Source organism: Homo sapiens, chromosome 14 (genome assembly GCF_000001405.40).
Source record: "Homo sapiens chromosome 14, GRCh38.p14 Primary Assembly".
NCBI classification, from domain to species: Eukaryota; Metazoa; Chordata; class Mammalia; order Primates; family Hominidae; genus Homo; species Homo sapiens.
In genome coordinates this window covers 93725215-93740491 of record NC_000014.9, presented here as the reverse complement: position 1 = coordinate 93740491, position 15277 = coordinate 93725215, and the positions used below count along the sequence as shown (strand labels likewise).

General features: G+C 52.8%; 1 protein-coding gene across 3 annotated transcripts in view; it reads left to right on the top strand.

The window, feature by feature from the left end:
- PRIMA1 (proline rich membrane anchor 1) overlaps nucleotides 1–15277 on the top strand; it is a 70697-nt gene that overhangs the window by 48503 nt on the left and 6917 nt on the right. For 2 of the 3 annotated variants that reach the window (XM_011536456.3, NM_178013.4), the window contains exon 4: nucleotides 3122–3251. In XM_011536456.3, the coding sequence (XP_011534758.1) occupies nucleotides 3122–3251 (130 nt within the window). Of the gene's footprint in view, nucleotides 1–3121; nucleotides 3252–6836; nucleotides 10052–15277 lie in introns of those variants that run through there. The other variant, XM_047430966.1, reaches the window with a different exon arrangement.

Sequence of the window (15277 nt, the reverse complement as noted above, 5' to 3'; positions counted from 1 at the left end):
TTTGAGGCTTAGGGGTGCAGTGTAGACAGAACAGCCTTGGATGATCTGGCTATATTTCTGACTCTCCAGCAGTGACTTCTGACTTCCCAGAGTGTAGGGAAGGTGGGGGCATCACCCCAGGAAGACACAGCCAAGTCAGGGATACCCCAAGGTGAGGAATTGGAGGGAAGGATTTTTTGTTTGATATTTCACCAAGAAAGCCTTGAACAAGTTCATCATGGGGAAAATGAGAATCCCTTTGGGTCTCCTTTTTCTTATTTTAGAGTTCATTCCTATTTTCAATGCTATATTCTGTATCTTTTCAGTGTTGAGGTTTCTAAAGGCCTGGTGCTGCCCTGACTGAGAGGCCCAGTGGCATCCTCCTATCAGCCATCTCTCAGGAAGCATTTCTTTCTTTTTATTTTATTTTATTTATTGATTTTTTTTTTAGCTGGAGTCTTGCTCTGTCACCCAGGCTGGAGTGCAATGGCACAATCTTAGCTCACTGCAACCTCCACCTCCCGGTTCAAGCGATTCTTCTGCCTCAGCCTCCTGAGTAGCTGGGATTACAGGTGCCTGCCACCATGCCCAGATAATTTTTGTATTTTTAGTAGAGACGGGGTTTCACTATGTTGGTCAGGCTGGTCTCAAACTCCTGACCTCAGGTGATCCACCTTCCTCGGCCTCCCAAACTGCTGGGATTACAGGCGTGAACCACCATCAGGAAGAATTTCTGATTCGACTTGGTCTCTGTGACACCTGAGGCTCACTCCTAGGCACCTTGCATTTGTTAGTGGGGTTTCGGTGCTGGTTCACTAGGAAGCACATAGTGGCTCCCTGGATCTCCTAATCCAGCTGCAACAAATCAGTAACTGCTCCCTTCTTGCCATCTTCTTCCTTCTTTCCACCTTTCTTCATGCTGCACAGAATGTACAAAGGTACAAGCATTCAGGAAAAACAGCTTGGCATGTCCTTCTAAAGTTTATCATACACACACCACACAACCCAGCCGTTCCACTCCTAGATATTTATCCAAGAGAAATAGGAAAATGTGTCTGTACAAAGACTTGTACACAAATGCTTATAGCAGTTCTATTCAAGATAGTCAGAACTGGAAACAACCTAGGTGTTGGTCATCAGGTGAACGGATAAACAAATTGTGGCCAGGCACAGTGGCTCATGCCTGTAATCCCAGCACTTTGGGAGACCGAGGTGGGCAGATCACCTGAGGTCAGGAGTTCGAGACCAGCCTGACCAACATGGAGAAACCCCGTCTCTACTAAAAATACAAAATTAGCTGGGCATGGTGGCGCATATCTGTAATCCCAGCTACTTGGGAGGCTGAGGCAGGAGAATCACTTGAACCGAGGAGGCAGAGGTTGTGGTGAGCTGAGATCGTGCCACTGCACTCCAGCCTGGGCAACAAGAGCGAAACTCCGTCTCAAAAAAAAAAAAGAAAGAAAAAACAACAACAAATTGTGATATGTTCATATAAAGAAATACTATTCAGCAACAAAGGAAGGAGCTGCTGAAATACACAGTAACATGGATGAATCTCAGAAACGCTATGCTAAATAAAGGAACAAAAAAAATACACACTGCATGATTCCATGTATGTGAATGTCAAAACCAAGCAAATCTAATCAGTGATTTTAGAAATCAGAATAGTGGTTGCCCCAGGGTGGGACTGATTAGAAAGAGGCACGGGGACACTTTCTGGGCTGTTGGAAATATTCTGTGTCATGCTGAAGGTGCGGCTTCCACTGGTGCATGCATTTGTCAAAGCTCAGAGGATGGTACTTTTAAGATGGGGGGTGCATTTCACTAGATGTAGATTACACTTTGATAAAAATCATAATAATGAAGCCATCCATATTACCCTTTGGGAAGTCATCCCCTGGTTCCCCACTTACTGTTGCACCCCTCAAAGTATCTATCATAGAGTGGACACCAAGTCTGGGGTGTATTTCTGATTCTTTTGCATATATTCACGTCTTGGAGACCTGTCCAAAGTTAATACTGTCTCTCTGTCCATCCATCCATCCGTCCATCCCTTCCTTCCTCCCTCATCATCCCCTTTCCTCTTTGTTTCTCTTTTCCCTCTCACTTCCTTCCTTTCTCCCTCCCATTCCTTTTGCAATTCTGGGCACTCCTTTCCAGTTGTGTCTGAGTCTTCCCAGAAGCCCTGGGATGAGGCTGTGTGATGTCTTTGCTTTTCTCAGAGGAAAGCGAACCGGCCTCACTGACACAAGTCCTTCAGGTCCACCCCAAGACAGCCTGTGCCAAGGGAGGGAGGACAGGTTCACCCCAAGGACTCCACGGATTGAGTGACTAAGAGAGGGCCCTGGAGCACCAGTGTCCGGTGCCTTGTCAGTGACACTTTTCCAAATTTTGACCACCCCCGTGCAAACTGAGACAGCGGCAAATACCCACCCCACGGGCTGAATCCAAGAAGGGAGAAAGTCTGCGTCTTGCAAGAAATTAGCTCAAGAAACGGACATTGGCAGTCCTCCCTTTCTTTCCTTCCTCCCTCAGCATCCCCTGTGAGCCCCGCTCCCCACCCCCGCCTGCAGAGGAACCAGATTTAGTGCCTCAGCTGAGAGAATGAGATGCTCTGTTATTTTTTATGGGGAATTAGACCTGACCCTGCTGTCAGTTAGCTCATGCCGAGGGAGGATGGATGGCCTGGGGCGTGGCGCTCAGCCCCTGCTCTGAGCACGCCGGGGCAGGGATGGAGGCGCTCAGAGGCCAGCCTGGCTGGGGGCCAGCCATGATGTCACCTGCCGCAGGGTGGGGGCAGGGATGGCCGGAAAGGTCAGGGAGCCTTCAGCCAGGTGATGGATGCCAGTGGCCTCCCTGTGCCTCTGTTGGTGTCACCCATAATGGTCCCACCAGTGACCTCCCCACGCCTCTGTTAGTGTCACCCATGATGGTCCCACCAGTGACCTCCCCATGCCTCTGTTGGTGTCACCCATAATGGTCCCACCAGTGACCTCCCCACGCCTCTGTTGGTGTCACCCATGATGGTCCCACCAGTGACCTCCCCACGCCTCTGTTGGTGTCACCCATGATGGTCCCACCTCTGTCACTGGCCATGACCAGCTCATCCAGGTGACACTCAGGCTGCTCCTGTCTTTTTCAGCTCCCAACTCTACCTCTTGCCCCACTGAGGAAAGCTGGTGGTCGGGGCTGGTGATCATCATTGCCGTATGCTGTGCCTCCCTGGTGTTTCTGACTGTGCTTGTCATCATTTGCTACAAAGCCATAAAAAGGTGAGTGCTCACTCACTGCACCCAGCTTCAAGCCGAAGGGAACCCCAGCTGGGCTTGGGGCTCCTACACACATCCCGTATCATTATTTTAAATTATAAAAGTTGTTAAGCATATAAGAAGCAGAAAGAATATACAGTGACCTTCCATCTACCCTCACCCCGATTCAACAGTTCATCAAGATTTTGCTGTATTTGCTATATCTATTTTATTTTTCCTTTGATCTTTTTCATTGCCGAAATATTTTAAAGTTGATCTCAGAAATAATGTCTCTGTCACTTTAGAGAGTTTGATTCCACAAGCAATTGATTAGCACCAATTATATGTCAGGCCCAGTGCAACGTGAAAAATACAAAAATGTTGCAAAACACCAAAGAGTCATAGGAGTTGTTAACAATATAATATTTCTAAGGAAGTTTTTAAAACATTTCCTGACTCCCAAAATTAGAGGGCCACATTAAGAACATTCCTAACATCTAAAATATTTAAGTTTACTCTTTAAGTTGGTTGTTCTATGTGATTTCACTTTAGTAATTCAAAAGCAGAAAGTAAAATATCAAGGTAAAAGTCTTAAAACAAGTCAGGCACACAGGATGGGGGGCCACAGAAAGCCAATAGACCAGGAGCGTCCTGGTAACGGGGCACAGGAGGGAGGACACCTGGCGGCAGGGCCCGGGCATGGCGGCTCCATGCAGGACAGGCCATGTCCTGGGCATCTGCCACCCAGCCGAGAACCCAAACTCAGAGCCCCCTCTGCCCAAAATGCACATGCTGCAGGGCAGTCTCCAAAAACACTGATAAATAACACAGGCATAACTGTAATCAGCAATACCTCAGCCGGGCACTGGGTTCTCCTCACCAACGTTCTCTTAGTTCATCTCCACCTACATTTTCCCAGTCAGCTCCATTTTGCAGAGGAGGTTGAGGTTCTAAGGAGTTGGAGAGCTGCCCAGGGTGGCACAACTGGTGAGCAATGGAGTCAGAAATTGAACCCAGAACAAAAATACTCCAAAGCCCAGCCCTGACTACACACCGTGTTTCAGGGTTATTGACGAGTTCGACTCCAGTGTTGGGCTAAGAACAGACCTCGGTATTCCTGCCTGCCCTTCCTCAGGGATGTGGGAGAGGGGACACTCGGGGTTTGGTGAGGTCCGTCTGTGCTTCTTTGAGGCCAGAAGGACATACAGACAGAAAGGCCCAATGCTCTAAGACCCTGTAACTCTGGGTAGCGGCTTAGTCTTGAAAACCAAGGTGGGGCCAGGTGTGGTGGCTCACGCCTGTAATCCCGGCATTTTGGGAGGTGGAGGCGGGTGGATCACCTGAGGTCAGGAGTTTGAGACCAGCCTGACCCACATGGTGAAACCCCGTCTCTACTAAAAATACAAAATTAGCAGGTCATGGTGGCACACGCCTATAATCCCAGCCTCAGGAGGCTGAGGCAGGAGAATCTCTTGAACCTGGGAGGCGGAGGTTGCAGTGCGCTGAGAGCACACCACTGCACTCCAGACTGGGCGACAGAGCGAGACTCCATCTCAAAAAAAAAAAAAAAAAGGAAGAAAGAAAACCAAAGTGGATGGTTGGAGTCTCCCAGGGGACATAGCTAATCCAATTCCCACGTGTTTTGTAGGCACCTTCTTTGTGCCAGGCTTGGTGGGCATACAAAGAGGTAAGACAGAGGCTGTGCCTACAGGCTGCTCCATGAGGCTGTGCGAGGTTTGCTGGCAGCCCGCTGTGGCTGCCCGGAGGAGTCACGGTGCATTCTGATCTGGACCATAAAGCATTTGAGCTGAGGGCCTGCTGGAATGGGAGGAGGGTTTTAAGCAGCGGAGCAGAGGAGGCATTCTAGGTCAAGGCACCTGTGAGGGGAGCAGCCGGACACCAGGAAGCCCCTGCGACGCAGGAGATGAGGCTGGGAAGCCGTGAGCCTGACTGGGGAGGCCTTTGTCACCAGGCTGAGTGGTGACTTTGCCCGTGACTAGACACTAGGAAGTACTGAAGATTAGCTTCGGTAGCTGCTTTTTGGGGGAAGAGTGTGCGCCACCAGGCCATGGCTGCCAGTCTCCTTGCAGACACGCCCCACTTCCCCTGGGAGAGGCTCAACATGAATAATCTGTTTAATATAAACTCGTGTTCTTACAAAAGACACCTGAGCCACTTCTGCCTCCCTCCCTGCCCCAAACCTCCCCTGAAGAAATGTGCTACCTGCTTCTACCGGAGGAGGGAAAGAGAACAAACTCACATTAATAGCTCACTAGGGCAGTGCTGCTCAGCGGTAGCCTGCTGGGCTTTGTCTCAGGTGGGCTGGGGGCTCCCAGGAAGGGTGTGAGGGGCGTCATCTCAGAGCAGCTATAGAGGGGCCTCCTGTCTGTCCTCTTCCACTTTCTCTGAGCTCTTGGCTCCTGGGTCTGTTAGCACCCTGGAAAAAACAGAACTCATCCCAGATGGCTCAGTGGACCAGACTTCAGATAGTGGGCTTCTTCCAGGGGCAGGGGCGGGGCTCCACCAGGGCGTGGGCGGGGCTTCTTCTAGAGGCATGGGCGGGGATCCTTATGTGGTGTGGGCGGGGCTTCTTCCAGGGGTGTGGGTGGTGCTCCTCTGGGGCATGGATGGGGCTTCTTCCAGCGGGTGGCGAGGATTATTCCAGCGCTTTGGGCAGGCCCAGAGAGCAAGTGGGGCAGGTGAGGCACTCAGGGACTTGCAGAGTGGGGGCGGTTAGCACCTCTAGGAAGACAGGCAAGCGGGAAACTAGTGCCGTGGGAACCTCGTGAGAGACTCGCACTTAGGAGAAGGGCCGCCTAGCAGGAGTTGCGGTTGGAACTGTCAGAGAAGCAGCCCCAAAACAGGCAGGAAGGGGGAAGAATTGCTCCCAGCAGCTCTCCATGCTTAGGTTTCCCGTGGGTGCCTCACACTGGCCAAACCCAAGAAGCAGGGGAATCAGGACACACCGTCAGTAAGGTCGGCCTCCCGGGGGCACAGGGCAGAAAGCCCGTGAAGCAGGCAGTTGGGGTGTAAGCCGACGCTATGCTGCGCAGCCCCTTTGCTGCCCTGCACCAGGCTGTGCATCCATCTGCAGACCAAGACCTGGGGACACCGAGGAATAGGACCCAGCCCTTTGACCTCGAGGTCTTCATAGTCCAGAGAGAGTATCCCTGGTGCAGCAGACAGATATTTAATGACAAGAGGGGACTGTGTTCATTGAGGGTGAAGGCAGAAATAGAGCCCAATACTGCCAAAACCCACCTAGAAGGAGGCTGGGGAGGGCGGCCTAACCCCTTGGTGGAGAGAGAAGGAGGCAGCAGAAGCTGCAACCCCGCCTACAGAGCAGAGTGCTCCCCACTGCCCCCCCAGGCGCTGACCTCAGCTGGGGCTGTAAGAGATAGCATCCTCACTCAGGCCAGCTGCCTGTCCACATTTCTCTCCAGCGAAGTGGAGGATTTCTTGCTCACGGCCAATTGTTTTTGGTCAATAATTCATCTAAAACATGCCTTTTCTCTCAGGAAACAAAAGTATCTCATGTCACTGCAAAACCATTAAAAGGAAAATTTAGTGATAAACCCTACTCTTTTTTTTTTCTTTTAACTCTCATAGCCTCGAGTCCTAGGAATTTCCAAGAGATCTTTGTAAATGGCCCCAACACAGCCTTTCAGAGCCAGGTTGCCAAGAGGATGTTTCTAGAATCGGGTAGGTCAGGGAGGAGGTGACTCTGGAGATGCCTTGGCACCTGGGGGTGTCAGCTGCCGGGACACGGGCCTCGGCAGGGACGGGCGGCACCGAGGGCTGAGTTGCAGCTGTGGAAGGCGCACCCCGCAGGGCCCTCACATCTGTGTCCAAGGCCTGGCTGAAAGGGGGCTGGACCTTGGCAGGAGGAAGAGTCTCACTAGCACTTGCTAGACGCAGATTAGGTGAAATAACACTTCTCCTGTGACTCAGCAAGCCTTCACCAAGTCCCACCTGTGCACTGGGTAGACGGTGTTCAGAGGAGGGGCACCTTGCCCAGACCTGGTAGCCAGGTGGGGTGGGAGGTTTCTTAAAGAGGTACATTAGCCAGGCCAGGGGACTGGGCGGGGAGGGTGTTACTTGAATTTGCATGAGCACGAGCAGTGGCCCCCAAGTCTGCTGTCAATGACCCCAAACTCCAGAGGGGGTTCCCAGCCATAGGGAGCCCATGCAACATGCATTTTGGTGGCTTCATTGCCCCGGGCTTGTTGTAAACAAGCCTTTTTATCTACAGCCACATGGAGAGCAGGCCCCAGAGCCCTTGGGTGCTGGGTACCCCCGTGCCTGGCACCTGGGTGTCCTCCCACCCCTAGGCCTGACGGGCACATGTTTCTGACAGCAGGACAGCCTGATTTGTTAAAAGAGCCCAGAACTGGGAGTCAAGTCCCCAGGCCTGTTCCCTTCCCAGCCCCAGCCCCGCCGGGCTCAGCTGGGCTCAGCTGGGCTCAGCAGGTATCGCTTCCCTCTGTGGCCTCCGTTTTCCCTCTCTGAAATGACAATCTCCGAGCAGCCTTTTGTGTCCCCATCCTGGATCGCAGGGGGACCATCACCACTCAGGCATTCAGCCTCTTGGACGTATAAATGCTGATCACTGTGCCCGCCAGGGCTGGGCCAGGTGCCAGGACCAGGTGCCAGGCACTGGGCTACAGGAGTGGGCACCACCGGCACAGTCCCTGCCCATGCTGCACATACCTTTTCGGGGGAAGAAGTGGACATCAATCAGACCAGACTGCCCCCAAAGAACGGTGGATCACAGTCAGAGGAGAGGCAGAAGAGCAGAGACAACACGAGTGTCCGTCCAGGGCAGGAGACAAACCTAAAACCAGTGATGACCACAGAGAGTCATCAAGATAAAGCTCCAAGGGGCAAGGCACCCGCTGCCCAGGTAGACCTCAGATCCCAGCTTGGGGAGCCCCACAGGCCTGTGCACTTGCAGGGATGTGGCTGTTTTCCTGGGGTGGCATTTGCAGCTTCTCTGACAGCCACACCCTTCACTCAGAGAAGAGCTCCTGTGTTGAGGGGAGATGATGCCCACCCCCTGCACGGAGACACGCCCATGCTGGCACAGGATGAACACCTTGCCTCCATTGGCCATCTGTGGCGTGGGTCTGTTCCCAATTGCCATGAAGCCACTGGACAGCCATTTCCCTCTCACTTACTGGTATAATTGGCAGAAAGACCAATACGTGGTCTCAGGACGGTTTGGCTGACCCTGCAGACGTTAATTGCTGACCTTAAGCAAGCGTGCTGCTTCCTGGATGTGGGCTTGAGTGTGCGTGATTGTGCCTAAGCACCACTTATTGCTGGGCTCTGGTCCTCATCAGCTGTTTGTGGTTGAGCCACTTTCAGTAGAACGAGCACTTTTGAATGCTCAAGCCTTTTTGATGGTGCCTTAGAAAACCCATTGACTGGCACAGGACTGTTCAGTGTTGATCCATTTATTGAGCACCTAATGTGTGCTGGGGACTAAGCACAAGGGATGCAGAAGAAACAAGACAGTCCCTGTTCTCCTCCTGCTGGAGGAGGCAGATTAAGCACACACACCAGCAAATTAATAAATGAGGTGATCTTAAAGACTATGAAGAGAAAAAAAATACAGGTTAATGGGGAAGAGAAGGAGAAAGGAGTGAAGGTTGTGTCCTCTCCAAAGAGTCAGGCATGTTGTGCATGCCTTTTGAGACAGCTTAATGATTAGAAAGTATGGCTAGAGCATTGCACATTTATTCCCTCCTTTTAATTTAGTTTTAATTTTTATCAAAGGAATACATATACATACTATGGCTTAAAATGTCAAATGTGCTCCCAAGGCTCTTAAGAAAGACAGCAGCCCCCTGTCTTTTCCCCCAAGTCACATTCTTGAGAGGCAACCACTTTCAACAGTTAGCTGTTTCTTCTGATGTTTCTCTCCATATGCTAAGTGATGTGTATACTGCTATTTAAATTTTCTTTCCATTTTAAGCACCATCTATTTACTTTCCACTGTGGAAGATACCAAGGCCAGCACCCTTGCAGTACAGACATACAACATACTTCCCCTCTTCTCATTCTCCACCTAGAATGGGGCTCAGTATGGGATTCTGTGCCTATTCAGTGCTTACCTTAGTGTAACAAAGAACATATTGTGCATAGCTGAGCCACATAGCGTACTATGCTGTTTCCTTTCCTGGGGTTAACAATGCCTCCTCTCAACACAGTCAAATTTATCAGTTCCATTTTTGTCCTGGGGGCTCCATGCTCCTCTCCAGGTGGACTGTGGGTCTCTGAGCCTGTTGCACAGTTGTCACCCTACAATCATCCTCTCCAGCACCCTTCCAAGCTGGATGATCCCAATATGGCTCCTCCCTGGGAACCTGCTACCCTCAGCTCTCTCCCTCCCTCTCCAACTCCAGTCTTTCATCTCCTTAGCTTGATTATTTCATGGATATTTTTCCCAAGATCTTTCCTGGATCATAGACTCAATAGAAAGTTAATCAGTGAAATTAGTTTTCTTTTTAGGATTTACACTCTTTCTGGAGCTTTGGGATAGCCCAGAGAAAGGTTAGTTCTTACTGAATGTGTGGCATATAGAGAAGATCTGGTTACCTGGGGGCACCTGGAATGCCAGGGAGGGGTGGAAATGAGTTTCCTATGGAGTCTGAGCCAGAATGAACCTTCATGGTCAAGGGCCAATCCCTTGTTTTACTGATGTGGGAACTGAGGCCTTGGTGGGGAGAGAAATGGTTCAGGTTCCAGAGGTTTCCTGCCCTCCTCCTGGCTCATCGAGCACTCCCAGAGGTCTCTCTGGTCAGTGTCCTTCCCCTCATTTCTTCCAGTTGAGTCCTTGCTGCTCCTCCCTGGAGACCCAACTCAAATGCCACCTCCTCTGAGATGTCATCCTGGACGAGTATAGAGCTCTCTCTTCCCTGTCCAACTGCTAGAGTTATAGCTGTCCCTGAATTTACAATTCTGCTTTCTGCTGTAGGTAGGTGTATGTCGGTGTTCGTGTGCCCACACCCTTGCGAATGCGTGGTTGTGTGCACACACGGTAGATGGGGATTGGTCATCTCATCTTACTCATCTCTCTCCCGACGGTGCCTGGCACGATGCCTGGCACATAGAAACTGGTCAGTGGTGGTTTCTGTGGTGTGAATGGAGGCTTGTTCCCACAGACTTGCCAGAGTCCACCTTTTAAACTGACAGACTCTATTTAGAATTGCAGTAAACTCATTTTTTTTCTCTATCTGGGTGAGTGAAATCGTCTGCTTTTGGTGTAAATAACATGCACCAAATTTTAAGTGTTGGGCCTCACCCCTTCACCAGTTTCAGTTTTCCCAGCCCCCTGCCATTCCTGCCCCCTCCCTCTCAACCCCATTTCTTCAGTAGGCCTCCTGCCATTCTCTCCCTTCCCCATACGCATGTACCCTGACTCAGCGGTCCCCTCTCCAAGCTTCGGAATAGCACAGCCTCTCTCCCACCTGCGCATAACACACTCCCAGGATGTGAATGCAGTGAAGCAGCTCCGCCATCTACCTCCTCTTCTTCCTCCCCGCAGGACACACCTACTGTGCCAGGGGCCAACCCAGCCCTCTCTCCCTCGTTGCCTGCTCTGGCCTTCAGCTGATCTGCAGAGTCAGGGCCAAAGGAGGGGCATGGGGAAGAAAAGGTTGGCCAGGCCCAGAGGCCAGCAGTGAGGACCAGGAATCAGGACAGGAGTGGAACTGCTCCATCCACCCTCAACTCACCACAAACTTCCAGGAGCAAGAAATTCACCTTGAATGCATCTTGGTGCATTCCTGGGGCCCTGAGACTGGGGGTTATCTCATGGGCCAAAGCCTCTTGGCCAGGTAGGGTCTCAATGTGGTTCCCATCTGTCACCTCTCCCTGCTGTTCACATGCGTACCTGTAGCAACACTCCCTCCTCCCCACTGCCCCAAATCCAACCCAGAATCACCACACCTGGTTGTACTGTGAGTCAGGTCAAAGTTAGTGTACTCCAAGGAAGGGCCTCCTGAGGGCAAGTGCTGAGCATTGATGCATGGCCTTGGCTGCTCAGAGACTATCCTGCATCCTTTGGAACCTGGGCTGAATTCAAGGAGCTGGCACCTGTGCTTAGTCCAGAATCAAGACTCGATCTTCTGACTCCTTGGCCAGTGCGCCTTCCCCTGGGCCTCACTGCCACCTTCTAGGCTGTCTGGGGCTTGGCTCTTTGGAGTCCCAGAAGATGCAGTGTCCTCACCATCACACCCACATCCTCCATCCAGGAAGAGGTCAGGCCAGCAAGGGGCAGGGGCACGAGGTCCTTACCTGCCCTGGGCTGGAATGCTTCTTTGGACTTATTTGTCCCCCTATAAAGACCCATCTTCCATGATGGGTGATAAGATCCCATCCTGCCGTGTGATGCAGGCAGCAGGGACGAGCCTGCTTCATCTGCCGGCATCCTTGGTGTGGGGCGCATGGAGCCCAGGCCTCCGTGCACCGTGGACAGTCATGGACAGAATGCTCAGCAGATTGAGGGTGTGTGTGCTCTGGGCCAGCTGATGGGAGACCCAGACGGATCCCTGCTTCTTGGGGCCTTTTTCTTTTGTCATCAAGAAATGCATGCCTCTCTGGACCCATCTCTCCAGACATGCTGGGTCAAGGTCATGGGGCAGGGTGAGGGTAAATGGGAACCCCCATTTAAGAAGTCTTCAGGTGACGCCCACTGCAGTCAGGATAAGACCCAGACACCTTGCCCCGGCCAGCTGCACCCTACAGGGGCTGGCTTCTGCCCCACTGCTCCTGCTGGTGTTTTTCTCCTCCTCTCCGCCCTCGCTCAGGACTCTCCAGCTGCACAGGCCTCCATCCCAGCTCTGTCCTGCTCCTTGCATGGCAGGGTCCTTCTCATCCCCTGGACCTCGCTGACCTGTCAGCCTACCAGGCCTCCCGCTATTCTCTCCCTCGACGCCTGGTTCTTTGCCGTCTTAGTTCCTCTCTTAATTTGCTGCAGTCTGTTCATTTGTGTACTGCTGGTCAGATGACTACCAACCTGGTGCCAGGTCGAGGCCAGTGTCCTTGGGCCATATGAGTCCGTTGTGTGCACTCAAATGAGCCGAACCCACAGGACCATGGAGGTGGAGCCACCTGTGAATGAATCTTGCCCGTGAAGAGAGGCGCCCTGTGCCTGAGGTTGGGGAGTCCGGGGGAGGGGGATGGGCCGCTTCTCTTGGGGAGACACCCCCTCAGCCTCCTTGTTTGCTTCAGGAGCCCCCGAAGCAGTGCCGGGCATTTCTGTAGTGCCCATGGTGACCAGGCTGGGCTGGGCTGGCTCAGGACAGCTGAGCAGCGTAGGATGCAGGGGAGCCCTGGTGGGGCGTGACCGCCCAGGAGCTCAGGGCAGGTCTCTCCTGGAAACCCAGCCTCTAGGAAGAACAGATGGCTTTGTGTATTCCCATTACCAATGAAGGCCTTTTGTGACAGCAAGACAAGGTGAAGGGAGGTTTTGTGACAGGAAGACAAGGTGAAGGGGGGTTCCGTGACCTGGGGCTGGTGTCCAAGGGCATGCCCACATGTGTCTGCCTGTGCCCACCTGTTCTGTATAGGACCTCCACCAGACCTCAGCCGAAGGCCCTTCTACCCAGAGGTGTTCCCCAGCCCCTTCATCCCCAGCACAGAGGCGGGTGGCAGGGAGGCATTGTCCCTGGAGTTTCAGGGAGGCGGGTGCCCAGACCCCCAGTGAGATGGACACCGTCTGGGCCGCTTCTGCCCACAGAATCCCCAGCAGGGATCTCCATCCCCCAGCACCATTCTGGCATCTCAGAGGCTTGAAGGACAGTCACCGAGGCCTGAGCTAGCTTGGAGGTCCCTGTCCAGGGCTCTGTGCATGAGCCCGCAATCCTTTCTTCAGCCTCCGGGCTGGGAAGGGCTCTGCCCTAGATCAAATCCCAGGCTGCAGAGCAGTGCTCAAGGGGAGAGAGAGTCACGCCTGTGAGAAGCCCCTCCCCCGGCAGACCCCTCTCTGCTCCCCTCGGCCCACAGCTCCCAGGGGAGGATGCAAGCATGAGAAATGCACAGTCGCCAGTTCCGCCGCAGCTCAGCGGAGGCGGCCAAACAGGTGATCCCAGGGGATGGTCCAGACAGTGGGTCCCACTGGCTGTGAGGACGCTTGTCTGCCGCATGCCTGTCTCCCACCCCCCTGGGCGATGGAGGCTGGACGTGGGGCTGCTGCTTCTCACGGTGACGCCCTCGAGGCTCAGAAAGGCTTTTTGTAGCTTCTTGACCCAGGTTTGGGGAAGTCTGAGGTCTACAGAGGAGTCTCATCATGGAACGCTGAGTGTGTGTGTATATGAGTGTGGGGATATATGTCTGTAGGTATGCATATGCATATGTGTATTCATATGTATGTGTGCATGCATGTGCACATATGTGTATGTGTGCATATGTGTGTAGGGACATGTGTGTATGTGTATATTGTGTGTGTGTTGAAGTACATGTGTGTATGTGTATATTGTTTGTGTGTGTGGATTTGTACATTTATGCGTATGTGCCTGTGTGTACATATATGTGTGTGTGTAAGTACATGTTTGTATGGGTTTGTGCATATGTACATGTGTCTATGTGTATGTGTATATTGTATGTGTGTGTGGATTTGTGCATGTGTACATGTGTCTATGTGTATATTATATATGTGTGTGTTTGCGTACATGTGTATGTGTATAGTGTGTGTGTATGTGGATTTGTGCATGTGTACATGTGTCTATGTGTACGTGCCTGTGTGTGTTACGCAGGTTCATGTGTGTGTATGGGTGTGGGAGGGTGTCGGGGTGGGCAGTCGGGGGATGAATACCTTCATAAGAGGTGAGTCCAGGACCTTTAACTTTCACTTCTCCCAGGGGCGCATGAGGCAGGAAGACAGCCTCCCTTCTTAGGCTCCCAGAGTTGTTCTTTGCCTCCATCTCCTCCATCCCCACAGAGCAGCAGGCTGAGCGGGAGGCTGTCACATCATGATCAGCAGGGCCTAAGAGGGGTACCTGGGTCCTGGCCCTCCTTGCCCAGGCCAAAGATGCCGGTGGAGGCACAGTTTCTGCAGGGGCCCCTCGTGGCTGCTGGCATGTGCGGCTGGAGCTGTCCGCGCGGCACTCCGAGCAGGGAATGTGGGAGCCTGCTGCCCTCCAAGCCCAGGGCAGGGGACAAGAAGTCTGAAGGTGGCAGAGCCCACCCTCCTACAAGCAGGAATCCTGGGTGCCGCCAAGGAAAGTCTCACTAACCTCTCTCTTGGTTTCTAGGAACCATGCCATCTAGGGAGCCCTCTGTGGCCATCTCTGCCTGGACCAGGGTGGAAATGCCTCTTCTTGGTTTAATGAGACCAGCCTCAGCTGACTCACAGAGCTGCAGAGCCAGGCTGGGTCCTAACAACTCTCTCTAGCATTTCCGGAGCCCCACGGGGCACGCGTTAGGTAGGAAGTCTGTGCAGACTGGAGAACCTTGGCTGCTGCCAGCCGGTGGGGCCAGCTACCTGGTGACACCTTTTCCCCAGCAGTACTGAGAGCTAACAAACATTTATGGAGCACTTACGGTATGCCAGACGCTTGTCTAAGTGCTTGACATGGACTAACGTGTTTAATCCTCCCAACAAGCCTATGAAATGGACACCACTATTGTGCTCATTTCAAAGACAAGAAACTGAGGCATAGAGAGGCTATGTAGCTTGCCTGAAGTCACACGGCCAGAAAATGGTGGGGCGGGGGTTTACTGAGCCTTGACATCTGCCGCTTAGCACTTCCGCAGCGTCACCCTGAAGTGCCGTGCTTGATGGAGGGGTGGAGTTGGGGGGGTGCAGAGGTGGAGCCGTCTTCGCTTTAGGGAACACCCAGCTTCCATGGGCTGCAGTGAATCCCAGAAAGGCTTTGGGAGCAGCAGTCCAGGCAGGAGAGTGGTTGGGGACTCAGCTCCGGTGGCAGGAGGGGAGCAGATCATGACCATTTCTCAGGAGAGCCCTCGGCTGCCACCCTCCCCCATCACCACGCGCGGGCTCCCGAATGCTCCTGTCTGGGGCCCTTACCTGCCACAGGTGCCGA